Here is a 20,625-nt window from a genome sequence, read left to right on the forward strand (position 1 = left end):
TGGGGAGGGAAAGCTGACTACATGCACGTCCCCAGCCAGCGCGCGGCCTCCGCGGTGTGGCTCCTAGTGCCCGGGGAAGAACCCTCACCCTCCCTATTCCCAGCAGCCCTGGCCGCCCCGCCCCCGCCGCAGCTGCTGCACCCACCCCCACCCTGCCCGGCCCTTTCTGCACCGTCATCTCCTGCCCCGCCGAGGCTTGACCCGTGAGTGGGGACGCCCAAAACGGGCCAGACCGGGAGCCCCACTCCCGGCTGTGGGAGGGAAGGGAAACCGAGATTGGGCAGAATCAGCGCCCCACCACCCGCTGCGGCGCTCGGGGGTCGGGGGGGCGGGGTGGGTAGGACTGTGGGCCCCGCCCTGCCGCAGGACTCTCAAGCTCTGGGACTGGGTGGAGGGAGGTAAGGGGCGGGGGGGGAAAATCCGTGCAGTCGCACATGCGCAAAGGCTCTTCACTGTCCCAAGACCCTGGCTTCCTGGCCAAAGAGCCCGCGCAGCGAGGTGGGGTTGGGGGCTGGGACCCAGCTCCGTGCCCCGCCACCTGGCTCTCTGGGAAGAATCGGACCTGTCACCCTCGAAGGACTGGCCGCTAAATAACTTCGGTATTGAGAGCTGTGTGAGCCTCAAAGGGAGGGCCCAGACCAGCTGGAGTCTCTACCCCCAGACAGGATAAAGGGCAGGACTTGGGGTCATAGGAGGAGGCGGCTAACATGAAAACAACTTAGGTTGGAGAGAAGGAGGGGCCAATCCAATCTGCACCCTCCCTGTGTCTGTCCCGAGTAGGTGCTGTCCCCCTCTCCCTTCCTTTGCCCACCGATTGGAGGGACACTCTGGAAAACTCAGTTGAAGAAAGCGGAGAGTCTGCGTGTACACAGTGCAATGATGTCAGTTAATGCACTAGTGAGGGCATGTGTTGTTCACGGTACACAGAAGAAGGAACCACCAGCCCTTGGGACACTTAGGCATTGGTGTAGACAAGGGAACATTTGAGTCCTGGACGATGGATAGGTCCACGGAGCGGAGGGAGGAGAAAAGGATTCCAGTCTTAGCGATCAGCATCAGCAAAGGCTCCGAGGTGCCAGAGGCATAGTGAGTTCTCCGATCCCTGGCTGGTGGAGGGAAGCTGGGAAGGGCCTGGCTGTCCAGGGTGGTGGGAGGAGGCTAGAGTAGCCAGACCAGATATTTTGGGTTGTCTCTGATGGGCAGTGGGGTGTGGGGGGGAGGTAGATAGGTATTTAGGATGGAATTCTGCTAGACAGGAAAATATAGTTCAGTTCCTCATAGTTCAGGCTGGAGCAAGTAAGATTCCAGTTTTACCACTGAATCTCTGAGCCTGTCTCCTCATCTGTAAAATGGGAACAGCAATCCTAGCCCAGAGGGTTGTCAAAGTCACTGTGCTATCGGGCCTGGCAGAATGGGAGTGAGAGGGGCTCAGAGGGACTGTTACAGGACATGAGGTGACGATGGTGGGGTGGCAAGGCAGGAGCTGATGGAGACTCACTGAGAAGTGGAGAAGCAAGATTCATCACATACGGGACATAAAGGGAGATGGAGGGGCAGGGGGTAGTCCTGGTCTCGGCCTGGTGGGGAAGGGCTTCAATGGGAGGAAGCCAGGGTGTGAAGTGACGGGGGAGGTATAGTGTGACACCAGAGGGTACTGAGAAAGACCTGGGAGGCAGGATGGCGGCTAGGACTAAATCCTCTCTCCCAGAGAAGGCCGAGCCTCCTAGAGCCAGAGAAGGAGGCAGAGGAGGGACAGCAAAGGGAAGAAGAGATGGGAGGATGCCGTGTGAACAAAGCCAAGGCGGGGAGGAGAAGAAGTTATTATCAGGGTGGGGGTGGGCTGAGGGCATGGTTCAAGGCCTGATGTCTTTGCCTCCTAATGCCGGGGGTCTTGCTGGCTGGGTCAGGCCACTCACAGGAATGGGCCATAATCCTTGGTTGACAATAAATGGACAAAGCAGCTGGGTGCGGTGGCTCATGCCTGTAATCCCAACACTTTGGGAGGCCAAGGTGGGTGGATCACGAGGTCAGGAGTTCGAGACCAGCCTAGCCAACATAGTGAAACCCCGTCTCAACTAAAAACACAAAAAATTAGCTGAGCGTGGTGCGGGCACCTGTAATCTCAGCTACTCGGGAGGCTGAGGCAGAAGAATCGCTTGAACTCAGGAGGCAGAGGTTGCAGTGATGAGAGAATGTGCCACTGCACTCCAGCCTGGGCAACAGAGTGAGACTCTGTCAAAAAAAAAAAAAAAAAATGGATAAAGCAGATTGACTCTCCCTAATAGCCGCTGTTGGTAGAGATAGTCTCTCAAGAGCCAGGCATGGTGGTTCACATGGTGGTTCACAAAGTGCTGGTAATCCCAGCACTTTGGAAGGCTGAGATGGGAGGATTGCTTGAGGCCAGCAGTTCGAGACCAGCCTGATCAATATAGCAAGACCAGGACAGGCGCGGTGGCTCACGCCTGTAATCCCAGCACTTTGGGAGGCCAAGGCAGGTGGATCACGAGGTCAGGAGTTCAAGACCAGCCTGGCCAACATAGTGAAACCCCGTCTCCACTAAAATAAATAAATACAAAAAATATATATAGCAAGACCCCACCTCTAAAAAAAAAAAAAAAAAAAAAGGCTGGGCACGAGAATCACTTGAGCCTGGGAGGCGGAGGTTGCAGTGAGCCAAGATTGCGCCACTGCACTCCAGCTTGGGCAACAGCGAGACTCCATCTCAAAAAAAAAAAAAAAAAAGTCTCTCAAAATAGTGCGATCCATGGAGGAAAATCAGTCCAAGTTCGGCAAGTATTTGTCGGTATCCTGTATGAGCTAGGCCTTGGGTACTTCAAGATCAAACAACAAATGTCTGTAGGTAATTCCCAGGTCAGCAGGGAGCCAGGTGGGTCAGCAGAGAGACAGTCACATTAGGAGTTAGGGCTTCAGTAGGGAGACAGGTGGGTCTCAGGTGATGTCAAGAGATCTTGGTCAGAGCTAGGCCTGAAGAAGATTCTGGTATCTCTGCTCAGGAATCAGGGGACCAGGAAGGGCCAGGAGACTACATTGGGGTTGCACTATGGTGGTGGTGTTGGTGGGAGGGTGTAGAGGCGGGGCTTGTCCTGGAAAGTTGGATATCAGGGTCAAGGTAAGGGGAGAGGGGCAGGGAGGCTCTCAGCACTTTGTGCTCTGGGTTCAGAGGGGACTGGAGGATAGAGTATGGAAGCAGGGAGCTCTGATCCTGGGTTCTGCAGGGCCAAAGCAGGAGGCAGAAGGCTGGACTTAGTAAGTGGTGAGGATGGTGAGAGAAATATTCAGCAGTCAGACTGGAAAGGACTTGTCTGCAAGCTGGGTGTGGAGTATCAGCATCAATCCTAGGTTTTTCTGCCTGGTTAGGTGGGGAAGCAGATTTGAGAGAAAGACCTTAGTTTGGATAAACGGGGTCTGAACTCGCCTCGGATTTGCCGGGGGTGGAGCTCAGGACGTCCTGGTTGGGGAGGGCATTCAGAGAGTAGATGCCAGTCCTGGGAAAGGCAGGGGAGGAGAGGAGAGCCACGGCTGACGCTTGGGGACAGAAGGAGGAGCCTGAGGAGGAGACAGGACAGAGCGTCTGGAGAGGCAGGAGGACACCGAGTTCCCCGTGTTGGCCTCCAGGTCCTGTGCTTGCGGAGCCGTCCGGCGGCTGGGATCGAGGTGAACTTAAACCCCAGCCTGGGTGTTCACTGGGGGCATTGAGGGAGTGGTCAGAGGCGGCGAGGGCAGCGGGGAGGGCAACCCCCCATTACTTCTCTCCCCTTTCCCCATGCAGCCCCGACAATGGGCAACGCGCAGGAGCGGCCGTCAGAGACTATCGACCGCGAGCGGAAACGCCTGGTCGAGACGCTGCAGGCGGACTCGGGACTGCTGTTGGACGCGCTGCTGGCGCGGGGCGTGCTCACCGGGCCAGAGTACGAGGCATTGGATGCACTGCCTGATGCCGAGCGCAGGGTGCGCCGCCTACTGCTGCTGGTGCAGGGCAAGGGCGAGGCCGCCTGCCAGGAGCTGCTACGCTGTGCCCAGCGTACCGCGGGCGCGCCGGACCCCGCTTGGGACTGGCAGCACGTGGGTCCGGGTGAGCGCGCGGGGCGGGGCCTAGGGCAGAGCAGGGACGGGGCTGGGGCAGACAAAAGGCCCGGGGAGGGCAGGGTTGTCGTCTCCGCTAGAAGTAGGCGAGTGTGAAACCGCACAGGGGTAAATTGAGCCTCAGTCACTCCCACTTCCGCCCCAGGCTACCGGGACCGCAGCTATGACCCTCCATGCCCAGGCCACTGGACGCCGGAGGCACCCGGCTCGGGGACCACATGCCCCGGGTTGCCCAGAGCTTCAGACCCTGACGAGGCCGGGGGCCCTGAGGGCTCCGAGGCGGTGCAATCCGGGACCCCGGAGGAGCCAGAGCCAGAGCTGGAAGCTGAGGCCTCTAAAGAGGCTGAACCGGAGCCGGAGCCAGAGCCAGAGCTGGAACCCGAGGCTGAAGCAGAACCAGAGCCGGAACTGGAGCCAGAACCGGACCCAGAGCCCGAGCCCGACTTCGAGGAAAGGGACGAGTCCGAAGGTGTGAGTCCGCCCAAACCCTGAGCCGGCTTGGCGGGAGGGCATGGCCTGGGAAGCGGATGCCGGACCCCACCTCTTTGACCACTGTTCCCGTCATCTCTAGATTCCTGAAGGCCAGAGCTCTGACAGGCGGTGCCCCGCCCATGCTGGATAGGACCTGGGATGCTGCTGGAGCTGAATCGGATGCCACCAAGGCTCGGTCCAGCCCAGTACCGCTGGAAGTGAATAAACTCCGGAGGGTCGGACGGGACCTGGGCTCTCTCCACGATTCTGGCTGTTTGCCCAGGAACTTAGGGTGGGTACCTCTGAGTCCCAGGGACCTGGGCAGGCCCAAGCCCACCACGAGCATCATCCAGTCCTCAGCCCTAATCTGCCCTTAGGAGTCCAGGCTGCACCCTGGAGATCCCAAACCTAGCCCCCTAGTGGGACAAGGACCTGACCCTCCTGCCCGCATACACAACCCATTTCCCCTGGTGAGCCACTTGGCAGCATATGTAGGTACCAGCTCAACCCCACGCAAGTTCCTGAGCTGAACATGGAGCAAGGGGAGGGTGACTTCTCTCCACATAGGGAGGGCTTAGAGCTCACAGCCTTGGGAAGTGAGACTAGAAGAGGGGAGCAGAAAGGGACCTTGAGTAGACAAAGGCCACACACATCATTGTCATTACTGTTTTAATTGTCTGGCTTCTCTCTGGACTGGGAGCTCAGTGAGGATTCTGACCAGTGACTTACACAAAAGGCGCTCTATACATATTATAATATATTCGCTTACTAAATGAATAAGGACTTTCCAACTGCGTTTCTGAGTTTTACAGATGGGAAAACTAAGGCCAAAGGATAGGAGTGGGGTTCACACAGCTAAGTCTGAAGGGAAACTGGAAGCAGCAACCACCTCTGCACCTCACCTGGTCTAAGAGGGGTTCAGGACTTGGGCCACCAAACTCTAGGGCCTGTCCCTCAGGTGCAATTGCAGCTGCTCCTAGGCTATGCCAACCTCTGCCAGAGAGCAGCTGTGAGGGTGTGAGCAAAGACAGGAACAGCAGAGGCCAGTGGAGGGAGTGGGGAACAGGGCCAAGGGAGCTCTTGGGCTTGACTCTCAAGGCCTGAATCAGTGTGTGTGTGTGTGTGTGTGTGTGTGTGTGTGTGTGTGTGTGTGTGTGTGTGTGTGTGTGTGTGTAATGGGAGTGGGGCTGGGAAAATTGGTGCCTTCCAAGAAGGAGTGTCCTGTCCAACCCCCCGCACCCCCACGGAACCTTCAGGAGCTGCTGCTCCCAGCCACAGGAAGTAGACCATATAAATATGGAATAAATACATGACCAGTGAGAGAGGCAAAATGTCGGAAAGCAGACCCCAGGCCAGCTGGGTCTCTACTACCAGGACCCCAGGCTCAGGCCATCAATCACCCCAGGAGAAGGGAGCCCGACCCCCACCAGGACCCAGTGAGAGGTAGACAGCACAAATGCTGAAGGAGCACCAAGGGGCCAGGTAAGGGAAGGGAGAGACTGGAGTACTGGGACAACCAAAGCCATCTCATGCAAGAACAAGTTTCTATTCCCAAACCACCCCCATCCCCATCAATGCTCAGCTCTCTTCCTGCCCCCATGCCTTCCCTCTGCTCAACAGAGAGCTGGAGGCAGGAGGGCGACTCAGTTTGCCAGACATGCTGCTGCAGGTCCCCAGACCCCAGGGAGGCTGGCAAGGGACACAAACACTTTGATGTTGCCACTCCTCCTCAAGGAATGCTCCTGCCCTCCCAACACCCCCAAGAAACACCTAGGCCGTGGACGCACAGAGCAAACTGCTTCATGTTCTAGGGGCCTATCTGGAGCTTCTGTCCAGGGCCTCTGACTGCAGCCCTCAACGGACATCAGTCGGGTAGCAGGCGACCCAGCTCCGCCTCATCCAGCCGGTTGGTGGCCATGATGTGCTCCAGCTGCTGCCGGTAGCGTGCCAAGTCCTGCATGAAGTGGGGCACCCGGGTATTATCCAGCACCCCATGGGGCCGCAGGTGGTCCACATCCTCATAGGACACCTGCAGGAGGAAGCCGGGCATCAGGCATAGGCAGTGGCCCCTGGCTTTCAGGTAGCTGGTCCCAGCCCACTGCTTACAGCTCACAGCCTTTGCTCCGGGACTTCTTCCTCTCCCCTCCTGATCCACAATTAGCTACAACGTTTTATACCTCTAGACTCAATCCTTCATCTTTGCCCTTTCTCTCAACAGTTTCTTTTTGTCATAGATGCCCTACAACCCCACTTCTCTCTCCAGCCCAGCCTCTCAGACCCTCACCTCCAAACATGGGCATCCAACTGCCTCCTTAATGTCTTCCCCTGGATAACCCTCAGGATGGCCCCATGTCCAAAAGTCAACTCCTGAGTGCCAGCTTATGCCAGCTCCACCCTCTTTACAGTCACCCAGGTCAGATTCCCGGGAGGGGGCTTGGACTCTCACCCTCCCATCAGGGTAGCCGCTGAGTTAAAAGTATTCCCCTCTCTGAAGAGCTCTCCAGCTTGTCCCTTCATCTCCAACCCAGCGGCCACTGCCTGGTTAGGCCAGACCACCATCCCTTCTGCAGGAGTGACAGGCAAGGCCTCCTCCGTGCCCCTGCACTCCCTTCCCTAGTCCTCTCTCCAATCCACCTCCCATATGATGTCCAGAAGGAGCCTTCTGAAGCAAATATCAGAGTCACTCCTCTGCTTAAAGCTCCTCTCACTCCCCGTTGCTTCAGATGAAATCTACTTTCCTCGGCCTGGCACAAATGCCAGTGCCAGGGAGTTGGTCCCTGGCCATTTCTGCAGCCTTCTTCCCCTGGCCTTCCTGATCACTCCCTTGGCCTGGAATGCTCATCTCCTTTGAGATGCAGTATCTACATACACCTGCAGCCTCCGTTAAGCACCTGGTTTTGCTGCCAGAGTCATTTCATCTCCTGTTCTCACTTCCACCCACGCTCCCCCCTACCACCACAGGCCTGACACCCAGCCCTCGGTCTAGCACCAATCCGAGGCTCAGGGAATTCTACAGCAAGGCAGGGAGCTGGCTGGGACCTCTGAAGGTCCACAGCCCCTCACCTTGCCCAGTGAGGTCAGCAACGGGAAATCGATGGTCTGGCGATGTCGCAGAATGCGCACGATGCCGTCCAGGTACACCTGGTCCTTGCTGAAACAACCTGGGAGGGCAGGAGGGCGGTGAGCCCCGCCCCTCGCCCGAAGCCCCGCCCCCACCCCGGCTCTAGGCACCTCCCCCGCGCTGGCGCACACCTGGCAGCGAGGTGTCGGTCTGGCCGCGCTTGGCGCGCACGCAGTACTCCCAGCGCACATCGGCGTCCTGCACGTAGCGCTCCAGGTCCTGGAAGAGCTGACGGAAGGACATGCGCGCGGCGCGGTGGATGGTGTAGTAGAGCAGTGCAGCGCGCCACAGGAACGGCTGCTTGCGGAACAGCACGCTGTGCAGGCTGGCCAGGCCCTCCTCCGTGGGGTTCGCCGGCCGCAGCCCGTACCGCAGCCGGCCCTCCGCGTTGTGCCACGGCTGGCGCGCGTTGTTCACGCCCCGCAGGTAGTGGGTGCCTGCGGGGAAGGCGAGGGGAGGCGGCGCTGGGCGGGGCGTTCGGGGACCCGCCTGCGAGCCCAGCCCTGGCCCTGTTCCATCTGGCCGGGGCTCTGGCCGCGACACTTCCATCCTCATGCTCCTGAACTCAGGCTCGCACACAGGCTCTCCCAGCCCCAGGCAGCGTGAAGCTCCTCCTCCTGTGGACTCGCACCCAAGGATCCACAGAGGCTCACATACATGAATCCTCTCCCACCCATCCGCCCCCCACCCTACACCCACGCACCCACACACGTGCACGAACTCTCCCAAACTGACATTGCCCCCAGCCCTCCTGGGCACAAGAATACATATACCACCCTGCCCAACATCCTGGGTGCCCATATCATCTTGAACAGTCATGCTGATGCCCCCGGTAAAAATCACTCTTGCCCAGAGCAACAGGATTCTCGAGGAAGAGGGACAGACAGATAGGAATAGTGGTTAGTGCCCTGCACCCCCCTGCCCAAACTGGCCAGTCCCCTCCTAAACCAGGTGCCATGTGTCCTCAAGTCAAGTCCATTCCCAGGACCTGGCCTTCCATCCACCCTGGAGGGCCAGCGTGGTGGCTGGCCTGGTGGGACCCTGAGGGTTCTTTCTCTGGCCGGTCAGGGCCTGACCAGCCTTGCCCGCACTGTTGGGAGAAGTCGGAGAGGAAGTGGAGAGAGAAAAATATACCCGAAAGGACCAAGAGATGAGAGCGAGCCCAGAGCATGGGCAGGCATGTTCTGGCCTACCTCTGTAAGCAGAGGGCGGGAGGTGGCTGCTCAGGAAGGGAAAGCCCCGACCTCAGGAGGGAAGGGGGAGAAACAAAAAGGGGAGTTATTGGGGCCCCTCCTTCCCACCCCTCCCAGCTCCCAGGCCCCTTTCATGCCTACCCATCTGCCCGGATACCCACACCCTGACCTATCTCATGCCGCAGCATGCCCTCCAACCAGTACTGGCGGGCTCCGGTCAGGTTGATCGCCAATGTGGGCCGGCTGTTCTCCACCATCATCACTGCCTGGGACAGCAGGTCCTCACTCAGCTGCACCACAACCTGCAGGTGGCAGTGCTCTGAGCCATGGCCACCAGCCTGGGGCCAGGGTGCAGGTGGACCCAATGATGCCACAGGGCAGCGAGGCCAGACAATTGGCCAGGGCACCCACCCTTCATCACCTCTGCTCAGAACCAGCTCCCACCTCACTGGGGCAGGGGCAGGGGTGGGTCAGGTGTGGAGCTGGACCTGGGACCGCCCACAAGACACCCTGATTTGGGGCATGTAGAGGAAGGGCTCTGCAGGCAAGCTCACCTCCCCAGCGCAGCCCTCCTTCTGCATGTATTTGCGCACAATCGACCATATCTGGCACTTGGTGAGCAGCTGCCCCCCAGTGGCAGCCTCAAAGTGTTCATAGGTTCCAAACTTCTCCAGAACAGCCTCAATGATGCCAACTGCCTGTACACGGGGCCACAGTGGCTGGTCAGGACAAGCCCCTTGGGTGGTCAGGGCCAGGATACGGTGGGGAGGCTGGACTGACCTGATGGATGAACTGTCCAGAGGCCTCGCAGTACTTTTCCAGCACAGCCGTGGGCATGGGCTCCTGGTACTCAAACTGTGGATTGTAGGTGTAATGGGACTGGAAGAACTTGTCTCGCTCACGGTCCATGTTGGTTGGCCGCAGGGCCACCAACATGCAGGGGCTCTTGCTGGCAATATGGCCTGCATCCCTTTGAGTCTTAGCAATGTGAGGCAGGGAGGCTGCAGGCCGCAGGGTGCCCCCACCTGGGTTCCGTCCCCGTCCAGGTGGAGGCCGTCCCAGGGTGCCACGCCCCCGCCGGCCAGTACTATTTACAGAGTAGGTGCTCTCACTGCGACGCATGTGGCCACGGTGGCCCAGGAGCATCTGTGAGAACGGCTGCTGCTCAGGCTGGGGCTGCAGCGCTGGGGGGACTGCCAGAGCCAGGGGCAAGGCCAGGGACTGAGACCAGGGGTACAGTGGTGGCCCATCTCGGTCTGAGGGCTTCAGCCTATGGCGCAGGGATGGGGGACTGGTAGGCGGGCTGGGGGGTGCCTGATCATACGCCTGAGCCCCTGAGTCCAGCACCATTCTGTCCTGGGGGTCACATCCAGCCGGGTCACTCCAACTCCCCACACTGTCGACCTCTGGGGACACAGAAGGGCATGTGGAGACCAGCATGAGTGGGTGTGACCAAACGACCAGCAGGCCCTGTACTCCACATTGCCTCTGCTGGGCCCTTGGTGGGCCCAGGCTCTGCTACCAGGGGTCTGATTGGCTGCAGCGTCCATTGCCTCCAGCAGACTCACCCAAATATGCTGGGCCGGAAGAAAGCACTTTTGTTTTCGTTTTTGTTTTTTGAGACAGGGTCTCACTCTGTTGCCCAAGGTGGAGTGCAGTGCAATGATCATAGCTCATTGCAGCCTCCAACTCCTGGCCTGAAGTGATCCTCCCGCCTCAGCCTCCCAAAGTGCTGGAATTAAATGCATGAGCCATCGCACCCAGCCGAAAGCAAGAGTTTTAAACACCCACCTAGGTGGTGGTTACTGGAATCCTCTCAGCCTGAGCTCCTGAAGGCAAGGACTGAGCCCCTTACTCGTGATTCTAATCTCTGTGCTCACTCACTTAATCTGGGAGGTGGTACAGTGCAGCTTCAGCTGCCTGGGCAGATTAGGTAGGTGAGAAGACCTCAGGGACTGCCTTCAGCCTATGGCATCTTCTCAGTGCCACCCCTGCCCATCCACCTGGCTTTACCCATATCCTCCTGCCTATTTGGCCTCAGTCAGTTTCAATGTTTGAGGGCCCCATGCTTACGCCGGTACCCCCCAGAATGCCCTCTCTCCTCTGAGCCATCTGTTGAAATCCAAATTAGAATCTGCTTTTGGGAAGCAGAAGGAAGCTTCAGCAAATCCAAGCCAATCTCTGGCTTGTCCCCTATCTGAGGGATCTTTCCAGTGGTCATCCAAAGCCAGTGTCAGGGCGCTCACCCCGACTCTGTTCCAGGACTCAGTCCAATCCCAACCCTCCCCAGAGACTACCTGGAGAGGCTCCAGCTGCTGAGCTCCCTTGCCTGCTCAGTGACTCACTTCCAGCATTTCTCCTCTCTCCTACATCATCAATCTCTTCCTCTCTACTGGACTCTTTCCATCAGGATAAACACATGCTGTTACTTCTCCATCTTAAAAAACAAAACAAAACCCTCACTAGAACCCACACTCCTCCAGCTACAGCCCCGCTGCATCTCCCTCCACTTGCTCCTATTGCAGCACATACCTCGAGTCATCTATACCCAGTCTCCAGTTCCTTTTTTCCTGTTCTCTCTTAAATTCACTCCAATTAGCCTTTTGTTCCCAGCACTCCATCCAAATTGATCTGATCAAGGTCACCAATGACCAGCAATGACCTTCATATTGATCAGCACCCGATACAGTTAATCACTACCTCCTGGAGGCCAGGCAGGGTGGCTCACGCCTGTAATCCCAGCACTTTGGGAGGCCGAGGCGGGCGGATCACCTGAGGTCGGGAGTTCGAGACCAGCCTGACCAACATGGAGAAACCCCGTCTCTACTAAAATACAAAATTAGCTGGGCGTGGTGGCACATGCCTGTAACCCCAGCTACTCGGGAGGCTGAGGTAGGAGAATCGCTTGAACCCGGGAGGCGGAGTTTGCGGTGAGCCAAGATTGTGCCATGGCACTCCAGCCTGGGCAACAACAGCGAAACTCCATCTCAAAAAAAAAAAAAAAAAAAAAAGTCACTGCCTCCTGGAAACATGCTGTCCACTTGGTTTTCCAAACACAGTCGAACTTAGTTCTCCTCCTACCTTGCTGGTCATCCCTGTCTCCCTGACCTCTTAATACTGTAATGCTCCAGGACTTGCCTATGGAAACTTCTCCATTTACGTTCACTCCCTAGATGTTCTCATCCACTCTTGTGGTTTTACATACATTAGCTCAGACTTCTTCCATAAACTTTAGACCAGTGTTGCCAATTTCAGTGCAATTTGAGATACTGTCTATTTGCCCAGGCTGGTCTTGAATTCCTGGCCTCAAGCAATCTTCCCACCTCAGCCTTCCAACTAGCTGGAACCACAGGCACATGCCATCATGTCCATCTTCACTGCAGTGTCATCACTTGAATGTTTAATAGGCATATCAAACAGAATATGTCCTCTGTCTGGGATGTTCCTCCCCCTGTATAATGGCATGGGTCACTCTCTCACTTTCCTCAAATCTCTGCATCAATACCATGTTATTAGAAAAGCCTAACACACCCTCAATAAAATAGTAAACCTCCTCTCCCCTCTCCACTATCTCCCCTTCCCCAAATTATTGTTCTTTGTAGCAGTCATCACCATCTGGAGTGTACTTCAGTACAGTTTATATTTGTATGATAGGTATATTTGATAGTTATCTGTTTTATCTTTTCCAACATTCACAGCTGTGTCCCCAGAACCCAGAACAGTGCCTGGCCCGCAGCAATTGCTCAATAAATAAATGAATCCAAGAGCTCTTCTTTCAGAACTAGAATTATTCCTTCCCTGCACTTTGCTTCCCTATCTAGACTTCATCTTCCCCCTCTCCACTCCTCTCTACCCTGCCTAATGACCAGCTGCTTGAAAAGACTTCAGGTCCCAGGCTTCACTCCCTTTAACTAACTGTACAGTTTTTTGGACTCCTCACCCCTTTACAGGTTTCTGCTTGGCCCAGTCCCCTCCATCTCCCCTTCTTTCATTCGACATACCTCCTCGAAATTACCAGAATACGCCTGTTTTTTTCACGTCTCGGGTCCTTCCGCCAAGAATGCCTTTGCAATATATTCCTGGAGCAAACTCTTAACCATTCTTCAAGGCTCAGTTTAGGCCTCACTTCCTCCAGGAAGCCTTCCCCGCGTCTAGTGTCCCACTGCTTCGGCGACTTCTTTACTCAGAGCTGTCACTGTTGGAGTCTAGGTCCGTGTCCTCCCACAATCCCCTGAACTCCCCGAAGGCAGGAATGGGGTCTGATTCACCCCCGTGTACCAAGCACCCAGCACTGGGTGCATAATGAATGAAGGATGGATGGGGGAGGAGCCCCCCACTATTAAGGCGGGGTCTAGTGACAAATGAGAGGGTGTGGCCTGTGCGGAGAGAAGCCCCGGAGAGGACAAGGTGAAGAGCCAATGGGGAACCAGAAATAGAGGAGGGGCGTGACCTGCAGCCAATAAGTGGTGGGGGATAAGGTGAAGGGCGTGCCCAATGGAGGGTGGGGCCAGGAGACAATGGAGTGGAGGCTTCTCCGGGAGATCAGGAAAGGTCGCGTCGCGCGCCTCCTCCCGGCCTTTGGGGGGGTCCGTCCGCGTGCCGTGCCCCCACCTGTTAGCTCCTCTGCTCGCCGCCCGCCGCTCCCGCTCTGCTACACCGGCCACCGGACGCCCAGCCGGCGGGAGCCGTCGCCGATGACGTACGTCCTCGGGCGCGCGCACGCTCTTACGAAAGCGTGGGGCTTCGCGTCAGTCTCCGCGGCGGCGCGCCCCCGAGGCCACTGGGAGCGAAGCCAGGCAGGGTTGAGGGGGCGGTGTTCGTGGTCCTGGGCCCGCCCCCTTCCCAAGGCCACAGCGAGTTGCTGGGCTTCAGGGGCTCCAGGCGGCCAGGGCGGCGGAGACTCTTGCTCACGGCCTGGGCGCGGAGACGTGGGGGCGTAGCCCGCGGCCTCGGGAACGCAGTCTGCACAGAGGGCAGATGCCTGCATAGGCGGGGCGCAGCCCGTGTACCAGGACGGGAGCCAGGATACTTTAAGCGTGTCACTCTGCAAGAATTCCCTCAACCCTCGTGGGCACTTTTATTCCATCCCACCTTCCCCAACACACACAGACTCAGGCGTCCGGCAGCCGTGGTTTATTCTGCGAGCAGCAGGGCTCGGGCGCAGGACCCCGAGGGCAGGCAGGAGGCCGGCGCGAGCGCGGGCGCGGGCACTAGGCTGAAGAGGACGCGGCGGCTCGCGCGGGGCGACGGCGGCAGCGCAGCCTGCAGGGAGCTGAGCGCGGCCAGGTGCTGCTCCCGGGACAAGTCCCCGCGCAGGCCCAAGAGGGCGGAGACGTGGTCCTCGCTGCAGGGGCACCAAGGAGGCGCGTCAGCCCCGTCCTCCCCGCCCTCCGGCTTCTCTTCCCTTCTGGCCCCCAGTCCGCACCTCACGTCGGGAAATTGTTGCCGCAGGCCAGCCACCTCCAGGCCCAGCAGCGCGGGGTCGCGGAGGTTTAGCAGCTCCCTCAGGGCGAGCAGCACCGGCGCGCAGTGCGCGTTCTCCTCCAGGCCCTGAGCACGTCGGGGTAGGGTCTCGCGCCAGCCCTCTCTCCCACCCAGCCACTGAGACTCTCGCCCGTCTGCCCGCCCAAGAAGCTCTCACCAAACTGAGGAAAAGCTGCTGAAGCTGGGCAGCATCGTGCCGCAGGCGCTCGGCCGCCTGGGTCCTCTCGTCGGCTCCGCGGCACACCAGGCGGCCTTGCATCAGCGCGCTCAGGTACTGGAGCACCACGGCACGCTCGGCCTCAGCCAGCAGCAGCTGCGGGGAGGCAATCAGGCGGGTGCAGGTCGCCTCTCACCCGCGCCGCCCCTTCCCCAATCTTTTCCCCCAACCCACCTGAACCGTGGGGTTCCGCACGCGCCAGAAGTCCCGGCAGAAGCGCCCCGTCCGTTCACACACACTTTGCAGGAGCTCAGGGCTCGACAGCCATTGGCGCGAGGGCAGATCCGCGAACAGGGGCTGGGGAAATGATCCAGATCTGGCATTGCCGCGGAGACCCCCATACGTAGCTGTACCGCCACCTCTCCACCTGCTCCCATCCTGACCTGAAGGAGGCCTCACCTGGAGCTCCGCCTGCAGCGCCTCCAACACCAAGCGGTAGATCCTCCTCTGCAACTCGTCCAGCGCAGCTTCCACTGGAGCCAAGGCCCCTGAAGGCGCCCCGTCCAGCTGCAGGACAGACACTGAGGAGCTGGACCAAGCAAAACTACGGCTTCAGGACCAAGGCCAAGGCCCGCATGGCCCTCGGTGGTCCAGACCCTCCGGCGCCACCTTGTGGGGCAAGTGTTTGACGGGAGGGAGCGAGAACAGCGGCTCTCTGCACTTCTGGTCCCAGGCATGGACCAGGGCTGGGAGACGGGCGCTTGGCGAGCTGCAAAGGACACAGCCCAGCGAGACCTGCCTCAAATTCGCGGTGCGTCCTTGAGGAAAACATTCTTTCGGTTTCTGTTTCCTCATTCGTAAAGGAAGGGAAGTATCCCAGTGAGGAGGGAGTAAAAAATCATCACTTGTTTTCCTTGCCCCCACCAAAAAGAACATACCACCCAAGAGGAAGGGAGTGTGTGTGTGTGTGCGTGTATACACACAGCTGTAACCCCAGACATTACTGGCACAGAGTAGGGCCTTGAAATATTTGCTGGACGAATGAACAATTGACACCATGTGCCAGGCACTATGGTGGCCACTTTACATGTTATCTCATGTGATTCTCAGAACATTCCATTAGTACCCCCATAATACTAATGAGAAAAGTGAGATTCACAGAGATTAGGTAACTCATCCAAGGTCACACAACTAGTAATTAGCAGAACTAGAATTGGAACCCCAGGGCGATGTGAGTCCAAAGTCCCTAGTGTCCTAGTGTGGGCTGAGCCCATACATAATAGGTACTCAATAGGGGGTTAGTGAAGGTGGGGTTCCCTGGGGGCCTTCTGGTACCTGAGTGCTGACTTGTGGTTGAGGGCGGCCAGTAGGTAGGGCACGTAATGAGGGGCCATTGATTTCCCCCTGAAGTGGTCTCGGGAGAATCGGATCAGAGCATCACTGAAGCTGCAATGGGCAGAGGTGGCTCCTGGACTTGCTGCTATGCTGGCATCCCCACAGCCCCAGTCCCTGGTACTCCTGTCCCACCTCCAAGATACCCAAGTCCTTGTTTGAAAGAGCCCTTTCCCTGTGACATGTCTTATTCACTCAGAGCCCCTTTGGGCTGCCTGGGGAGCAGGGATAGGGATCAGGAATGGGTCAGTGCCTCAGCAAACCTCCTCAAGAATGTGCCCAGTTCTGACAGTGCCATGCCATGCACTCGCTGTTGCAGTGACTCACTGACCAGGCTGGCCACACGAATGTTCTCTTCCAGGATCTGCAGGCAGAAATGAGCAGCCATCGGCAAAGCCTCCCTCCTTCCTCTCCTCCCCACTGCCCCATGGAGGCTGCCTGCCTGTCTGGCCACTTCCCACCTACCTGCAGCACAATGGCTGGCATTGGTGAGTAATAGGAGCCAGACGGGTCTGTGTTGGGCCCATGCTCCCGGCCCCACTCAGCTACCTCCCCATCCAGTGCATTCTGCAGCCACTGAGACACACTTGCCTGGGGGGAGGGGCCAGGGGCAAAGGAATGTAGCAGGGATCTGACCCTGCTGGAGATGGGTAGACATTCCACTCTGCAGATAAAGGCCCACAGCAGATAAGTAGGACTTCTCTGGACCTGTGCCTCAACTACTCACCTGGATGTTGGCCACAAATGTTGCCTCCAGCTGCTCAATGTTCTCCAAGGTCAGAAGGGGCTCCAGCTGGGACACATCAGCCTCAGGCCCCAACTCCAGGCTCCCCATCATTTCCTGCCTGGAGATAGGTGGCCTGGTGTCACACCAAGCCACCAAGCCCCCAGCCTCTGATCCCCCATGTCCCGCTGCCCCAAAGGCACTGACCCCAGGTACACATGCAGTGCCCAGTGCAGCAAGGCGAAGGCATCCGCAGCTTCTAGCTCAGGCCCTGCAAGGAGGTTCTGCAGGCTGCGGCGCAAACCACTATGCAGCGTGTGGGCCCATAGCTGGACCACGTTGTACTGTGGCGGGCAGCAAGGCGCTACTAGTGCCTCAGCTGTGGCCAACTCGACTGGCAGGGCCACTCGCAGAGCCTCCAGCCACCCTGGTAGGGCCCCTGGTGCAGGCAGCAGAGGTGACCCAAAGTGGGCCTGCTCCAGGCCCTCCTGTAGTGCCCTCAGACAGCGCTGACGCCAGTCCCGGGGGACCTGGCCCAGGGGGGTTGTTCGTCCAGTCTCCACCTCCGCCACACGCACAGCAGCCACCAACAGGGCTGGGTCCTCCCGTGCCAGCTTCCCTGCGGCCCCTGCAGCTGCTTCCACAGCCTGGCCCAGTGCCTCGAACAGAAGGTCCAGCCCCTGGAAGACTGGCAACTCCAGGCCCCCCAGGGGTGCCCACGTATCCTCTCGCAGCTGCTCCAGCTCCCGAAGGCTCACATATGCCTCCAAGAACTGTTGGCCATCAATCAGAGTCTGTGTGTGGGACACTGCAGCCGGCACTAATGAGAGTGAAAAGGAGACGGCCCTGGGTCTCAGCCTTCCCACCGCCTCAATGTGTACAGCAGGGGATACTGAGGCCCAGGGCGGGGGTGATGCATAAAATATTTAACAACCAGTAGAGTAAGCTGGGCACAGTGGCTCATGCCTGTAATCCCAGCACTTCGGGAGGCCAACGTGGGTGAATCACTTGAGGTCAGGAGTTTGAGACCAGCCCGGCCAACATGGTGAAATCCCATCTCTACTAAAAATACAAAAATTAGCCAGGCATGGTGGCACATGCCTGTAATCCCAGCTACTGGGGAGGCTGAGGCAGGAGGATTGCTTGAACCTGGGATATGGAGGTTGCAGTGAGCCGAGATCACACCACTGCACTCCAGCCTGGGTGACAGAGTGAGACTCTGTTTCAAAAACAAAACAAAACAAAAAATGAACAAAAAACCATAAATAAATAAATAAATAACCAGTAGAGTACTGGCCAATCTAAGAGGATCTTGGCAATGTCCTAAAGACCTGGTGGGCCAGAGGTCAACCCATGAACTCATGGAATATGAGGAAGCTGAGGATCCTGGAGGGAAGGCAGGGGAAATCGGGGGGTCCTGCCAGTACTCGCTCAGCCACTCTGTTAGGGAAGAGTTTGAATATACTGATAACCAGGTGGCCAGAGTCACATGACTGGGTGTCTGTCCTGACTCAAGCATCCCACACGTGGGAATCCCAGGATGAGCTGCCTCATAGGCCATGGGAAGCCCGGGCTACTGTCTGGGAGGTCCCTGGTGTGCTGCTCTATGCAGTTCCCCATCTAGTGCCCCAGCCCCTTGATTAGGGATGGGTGTTTGTGGACTGACTATTGGAGGCTGAGGCCCAGGGTCCCTGCATGCTCACCTGCCCGCAGCCGAGGCAGCAGGTGAGACAGGGCCTGCAGTTGCTTGTGCTGGGCAACCCGCTCCCGTAGGGGCTCTAGAGTCTGTAAGGCCTGGGACATGCCCTGGAGCAACCCACGGGCCTGGCTCAGGGCCTCCCGGGTTCCCTGCACCACCTCAATGGCCTGGGCCAGCTGCCACACACCAGTCTGCACGCCTTCCAGGTATGACTGCATCACTGACTGTGGAAAGATGGAGCCATGAGGCTGGGCCAGCCCTGCAGCACAGTCCCAGCACCCGCACCCCCTGCCCCATGCCCACCTTGAGGCGCGATTCCAGGGAGCAGGTACGCTGCACCTCGCGGCTGCGGTACTGGCCTAGCCTGGCCAGCTGCTCCGGCCGGTAGAAGATGCCTGAGGCCCACTTGAGCGCTGCACCCCGGGCCAGCTGCTCTGCCCGCTCCTGCTCTGGCCACTCAGGTCCTGGGAAGGAAGAGCCTGGGCAGCCGTGTAGTCAGGGAGGAGGGCCCAACGACCCCAGTCCCAGCTTTCTTATTTATTTATTTATTTATTTATTTGTTTGTTTATTTGTTTATTGAGATGGAGTCTCGCTCTGTTGCCCAGGCTGGAGTGCAGTGGTGCAATCTCGGGTCCCTGTAACCTCCGCCTCCCGGGTTCAAGCGATTCTCCTGCCTCAGTCTCCCGAGGAGCTGGGATTACAGGCGCGTGCCATCACGCCCAGCTAGTTTTTGTATTTTTAGTAGAGACGGGGTTTCACTATGTTGGCCAGGTTGGTTTGGAGCTCCTGACCTCAGGTCATCTGCCCATCTTGACCTCCCAAAGTGTTGGGATTACAGGCGTGAGCCACTGCGCCCAGCCAGTCCCATCTTTGTTGCCATCATTCCTCCCCTAGTCCACCCAAAAGGTTCATACCAGGGGACAACGCCGGCTGCATCTCATCCTTGGCTGCTGAGTCCATTGTGGGCCTGGAGGAGCCAGAGCTGAGGTGGGCCCGGGGCAAGCAGGCAGAGTAGATGCCCCTGTGAGCTGCTGCCTCTGTCTAAGCCCTTCTGAGAGGAGGAAGGAGGTTCTTCCCGGCCCCCTCGGGAAGTGAGAGGGAGCGGGTGTGATGCGGAGGGCACCTGGGAGGCTTTGCCTGCTAGGTTTCCCAGTCGTGCCCCTGCAGATGTCAAGCGAGACAGAGTGGGCACAGGCCTCCACTGGACCCTGGTCCTGCTCTGAGCTGCACAGGACAGTTTGGTACAGAACTTACCAGATTTGATCAGGCGTCCAGTTCTCCCTCCAAAAATGACCTTGGCCTTGAGAACAGCCCTCTCCCCAATGCAGCTGGGCACGCCTGCCACTTGCTCACAGGGCCTGGGCAACTCCAGCTGACTCCAGCGTGCAGCTGAATTCCTCTCCCCAAGGAAGTCTCTCTCCCACTCCCCACCCAGAAGCCCCTTCTTCCCACCGAGGCTCCTCCCTCCCCAAGGCCATCAACAGAAAGGAAGGAAGCTGAGTCTCTGGCATTTTATTCCCAACAGGAAAGAGTGTCTGCACAGAGGGTGGGGACAGCTGGGCGACACTTCCCTGAGGGGCGGGGGGGTGGGGTGTACTTGTACTCAACCAGTCTTGACCAGCCTACCCAGAACCTCTTAGTGCTCAGGAGAGGAGATAGGGATTTGCTAGACTTGGCCTCAACCTGGGGTGGTGGGCAGAGTGTGCAGATATGGATGCAGACGACATCAACAGCACAGGATGAAAACTGTGTTGGCCAGCCTCTGAGGAGGATGTGTACCTCTGCGGAGGAGTGAGAGGTGGCAGGCTCTTGTGAAGAGGGGTGTGGTGGGGGGTGGTAGGAGAGGGTCATGAAAGCTGTGTTTATCTTTTTTGTTTTAGACAGGGTCTTGATCTGTCACCAAGGCTGGAGTACAGTGGCACCACCATAGCTCACTGCAGCCTTCTGGGCTCAAGCGATCTGCCTGCCTCAGCCTCCCAAAGTGTTGGGAGATTACAGGCGTGAGTCACCGCAACTGGGCAGCTGTGTTTATCTTGAGAGTTATAGGGAGCCAGGGAAGGGACTATAAGGTGGTAATTATTTAGTGGATGTTCAGTCCACCACCCAAATCCACCCTTCAGGACAGAAGTGCTCATTCTCCAGCTGCCAGGAGTGTAGGCTACTGAGATCACACCACTGAGTCTCTCAGTCAATATTGGGGTGCAAAAGCATGGTACCATCGTGTGAACATGAACCCTTCAGAAGTGCTACCCCAATTTCAGAGATCCTAGTGGGATAGGC

General features: G+C 58.0%; 3 protein-coding genes across 25 annotated transcripts, besides 12 other annotated features; 1 reads left to right on the plus strand and 2 right to left on the minus strand.

Moving 5' to 3' along the window:
- Nucleotides 124-413: a silencer, noted in NCBI's record as "silent region_7588". NCBI's record gives its function as "represses an Ori minimal core promoter by ATAC-STARR-seq in GM12878 lymphoblastoid cells {active_cell/tissue: GM12878}" and the evidence as "EXISTENCE:reporter gene assay evidence [ECO:0000049][PMID:35858748]".
- Nucleotides 167-5,366, plus strand: NOL3 (nucleolar protein 3). 16 transcript variants are annotated; one of them, NM_001276312.3, is made up of 6 exons: nt 167-203; nt 781-1,086; nt 3,491-3,675; nt 3,791-4,093; nt 4,250-4,573; nt 4,676-5,366. In NM_001276312.3, exons 4-6 carry the CDS (start codon nt 3,799-3,801, stop codon nt 4,681-4,683), a joined length of 627 nt encoding a protein of 208 aa, NP_001263241.1. In that variant the 5' UTR covers nt 167-203; nt 781-1,086; nt 3,491-3,675; nt 3,791-3,798; the 3' UTR covers nt 4,684-5,366. The 16 variants fall into 16 exon arrangements, with proteins under 16 accessions (NP_001263241.1, NP_001381902.1, NP_001263236.1 ...); NM_001394973.1 differs by having other exon boundaries at nt 3,637-3,675; NM_001276307.3 differs by having other exon boundaries at nt 781-881; nt 3,637-3,675.
- Nucleotides 2,054-2,217: a silencer, noted in NCBI's record as "fragment chr16:67206328-67206491 (GRCh37/hg19 assembly coordinates)". NCBI's record gives its function as "represses an EF-1alpha promoter that drives an FKBP-Casp9 reporter gene in an ReSE screen in K562 erythroleukemia cells {active_cell/tissue: K562}" and the evidence as "EXISTENCE:reporter gene assay evidence [ECO:0000049][PMID:32094911]".
- Nucleotides 3,134-4,056: an enhancer, noted in NCBI's record as "H3K27ac-H3K4me1 hESC enhancer chr16:67207408-67208330 (GRCh37/hg19 assembly coordinates)". NCBI's record gives its function as "activates a minimal SCP1, AML or CMV promoter by ChIP-STARR-seq in primed H9 embryonic stem cells {active_cell/tissue: H9 hESC(primed)}" and the evidence as "EXISTENCE:reporter gene assay evidence [ECO:0000049][PMID:30033119]".
- Nucleotides 3,134-4,213: a biological region, named in NCBI's record as "H3K27ac-H3K4me1 hESC enhancer GRCh37_chr16:67207408-67208330".
- Nucleotides 3,954-4,213: a silencer, noted in NCBI's record as "silent region_7589". NCBI's record gives its function as "represses an Ori minimal core promoter by ATAC-STARR-seq in GM12878 lymphoblastoid cells {active_cell/tissue: GM12878}" and the evidence as "EXISTENCE:reporter gene assay evidence [ECO:0000049][PMID:35858748]".
- Nucleotides 5,228-13,592, minus strand: MATCAP1 (microtubule associated tyrosine carboxypeptidase 1). 8 transcript variants are annotated; one of them, NM_001369685.1, is made up of 9 exons: nt 13,501-13,592; nt 12,891-13,084; nt 11,187-11,326; nt 9,670-10,295; nt 9,444-9,587; nt 9,059-9,191; nt 7,828-8,133; nt 7,639-7,736; nt 5,228-6,604 (listed from the first exon to the last, which is right to left on the minus strand). In NM_001369685.1, the coding sequence occupies exons 4-9, from the start codon at nt 10,237-10,239 to the stop codon at nt 6,440-6,442; spliced, it is 1,416 nt and encodes a 471-aa protein (NP_001356614.1). In that variant the 5' UTR covers nt 10,240-10,295; nt 11,187-11,326; nt 12,891-13,084; nt 13,501-13,592; the 3' UTR covers nt 5,228-6,439. The 8 variants fall into 8 exon arrangements, with proteins under 8 accessions (NP_001356614.1, NP_001356615.1, NP_001356609.1 ...); NM_001369686.1 differs by lacking the exon at nt 11,187-11,326; NM_001369680.1 differs by having other exon boundaries at nt 11,235-11,326; nt 12,891-13,592.
- Nucleotides 5,587-6,016: a silencer, noted in NCBI's record as "fragment chr16:67209861-67210290 (GRCh37/hg19 assembly coordinates)". NCBI's record gives its function as "represses an EF-1alpha promoter that drives an FKBP-Casp9 reporter gene in an ReSE screen in K562 erythroleukemia cells {active_cell/tissue: K562}" and the evidence as "EXISTENCE:reporter gene assay evidence [ECO:0000049][PMID:32094911]".
- Nucleotides 7,599-8,142: an enhancer, noted in NCBI's record as "H3K27ac-H3K4me1 hESC enhancer chr16:67211873-67212416 (GRCh37/hg19 assembly coordinates)". NCBI's record gives its function as "activates a minimal SCP1, AML or CMV promoter by ChIP-STARR-seq in primed H9 embryonic stem cells {active_cell/tissue: H9 hESC(primed)}" and the evidence as "EXISTENCE:reporter gene assay evidence [ECO:0000049][PMID:30033119]".
- Nucleotides 7,764-7,823: a silencer, noted in NCBI's record as "silent region_7590". NCBI's record gives its function as "represses an Ori minimal core promoter by ATAC-STARR-seq in GM12878 lymphoblastoid cells {active_cell/tissue: GM12878}" and the evidence as "EXISTENCE:reporter gene assay evidence [ECO:0000049][PMID:35858748]".
- Nucleotides 8,094-8,253: a silencer, noted in NCBI's record as "silent region_7591". NCBI's record gives its function as "represses an Ori minimal core promoter by ATAC-STARR-seq in GM12878 lymphoblastoid cells {active_cell/tissue: GM12878}" and the evidence as "EXISTENCE:reporter gene assay evidence [ECO:0000049][PMID:35858748]".
- Nucleotides 8,094-8,684: a biological region, named in NCBI's record as "H3K27ac-H3K4me1 hESC enhancer GRCh37_chr16:67212417-67212958".
- Nucleotides 8,143-8,684: an enhancer, noted in NCBI's record as "H3K27ac-H3K4me1 hESC enhancer chr16:67212417-67212958 (GRCh37/hg19 assembly coordinates)". NCBI's record gives its function as "activates a minimal SCP1, AML or CMV promoter by ChIP-STARR-seq in primed H9 embryonic stem cells {active_cell/tissue: H9 hESC(primed)}" and the evidence as "EXISTENCE:reporter gene assay evidence [ECO:0000049][PMID:30033119]".
- A 415-nt stretch (nt 13,593-14,007) lies between the features above and the next one.
- EXOC3L1 (exocyst complex component 3 like 1) lies at nt 14,008-19,765 on the minus strand. Its single transcript, NM_178516.4, has 14 exons — nt 19,600-19,765; nt 19,260-19,312; nt 18,649-18,809; nt 18,350-18,569; nt 16,854-17,466; nt 16,650-16,767; nt 16,388-16,513; nt 16,186-16,286; nt 15,866-15,976; nt 14,990-15,119; nt 14,765-14,887; nt 14,531-14,686; nt 14,315-14,439; nt 14,008-14,233 (listed from the first exon to the last, which is right to left on the minus strand). The coding sequence occupies exons 2-14, from the start codon at nt 19,303-19,305 to the stop codon at nt 14,023-14,025; spliced, it is 2,241 nt and encodes a 746-aa protein (NP_848611.2). The 5' UTR covers nt 19,306-19,312; nt 19,600-19,765; the 3' UTR covers nt 14,008-14,022.
- Nucleotides 15,011-15,110: an enhancer, noted in NCBI's record as "active region_10956". NCBI's record gives its function as "activates an Ori minimal core promoter by ATAC-STARR-seq in GM12878 lymphoblastoid cells {active_cell/tissue: GM12878}" and the evidence as "EXISTENCE:reporter gene assay evidence [ECO:0000049][PMID:35858748]".
- Nucleotides 19,766-20,625: the final 860 nt, after the last annotated feature.

Source organism: Homo sapiens, chromosome 16, assembly GCF_000001405.40.
Source record: "Homo sapiens chromosome 16, GRCh38.p14 Primary Assembly".
Taxonomy (NCBI): domain Eukaryota; kingdom Metazoa; phylum Chordata; class Mammalia; order Primates; family Hominidae; genus Homo; species Homo sapiens.

Bases quoted from the DNA above. Each gene is read 5' to 3' on its own strand.
- NOL3 (XM_047434851.1), top strand. From the start codon at position 3,498: ATGCCAGTCCTGGGAAAGGCAGGGGAGGAGAGGAGAGCCACGGCTGAC. The intron at 3,676-3,790 runs GTGAACTTAAAC...TTCCCCATGCAG, and splicing joins GTCCGGCGGCTGGGATCGAG to CCCCGACAATGGGCAACGCG. The intron at 4,094-4,249 runs GTGAGCGCGCGG...CTTCCGCCCCAG, and splicing joins CTGGCAGCACGTGGGTCCGG to GCTACCGGGACCGCAGCTAT.
- MATCAP1 (NM_001369686.1), bottom strand. From the start codon at position 10,239: ATGGTGCTGGACTCAGGGGCTCAGGCGTATGATCAGGCACCCCCCAGC. The intron at 9,588-9,669 runs GTCAGTCCAGCC...CCCCGTGTACAG, and splicing joins CTGGACAGTTCATCCATCAG to GCAGTTGGCATCATTGAGGC. The intron at 9,192-9,443 runs GTGAGCTTGCCT...TGCCACCTGCAG, and splicing joins AGGAGGGCTGCGCTGGGGAG to GTTGTGGTGCAGCTGAGTGA.
- EXOC3L1 (NM_178516.4), bottom strand. From the start codon at position 19,305: ATGGACTCAGCAGCCAAGGATGAGATGCAGCCGGCGTTGTCCCCTG. The intron at 14,687-14,764 runs GTGGGTTGGGGG...GCCTCCCCGCAG, and splicing joins TGCGGAACCCCACGGTTCAG to CTGCTGCTGGCTGAGGCCGA. The intron at 14,234-14,314 runs GTGCGGACTGGG...GTGCCCCTGCAG, and splicing joins CAACAATTTCCCGACGTGAG to CGAGGACCACGTCTCCGCCC.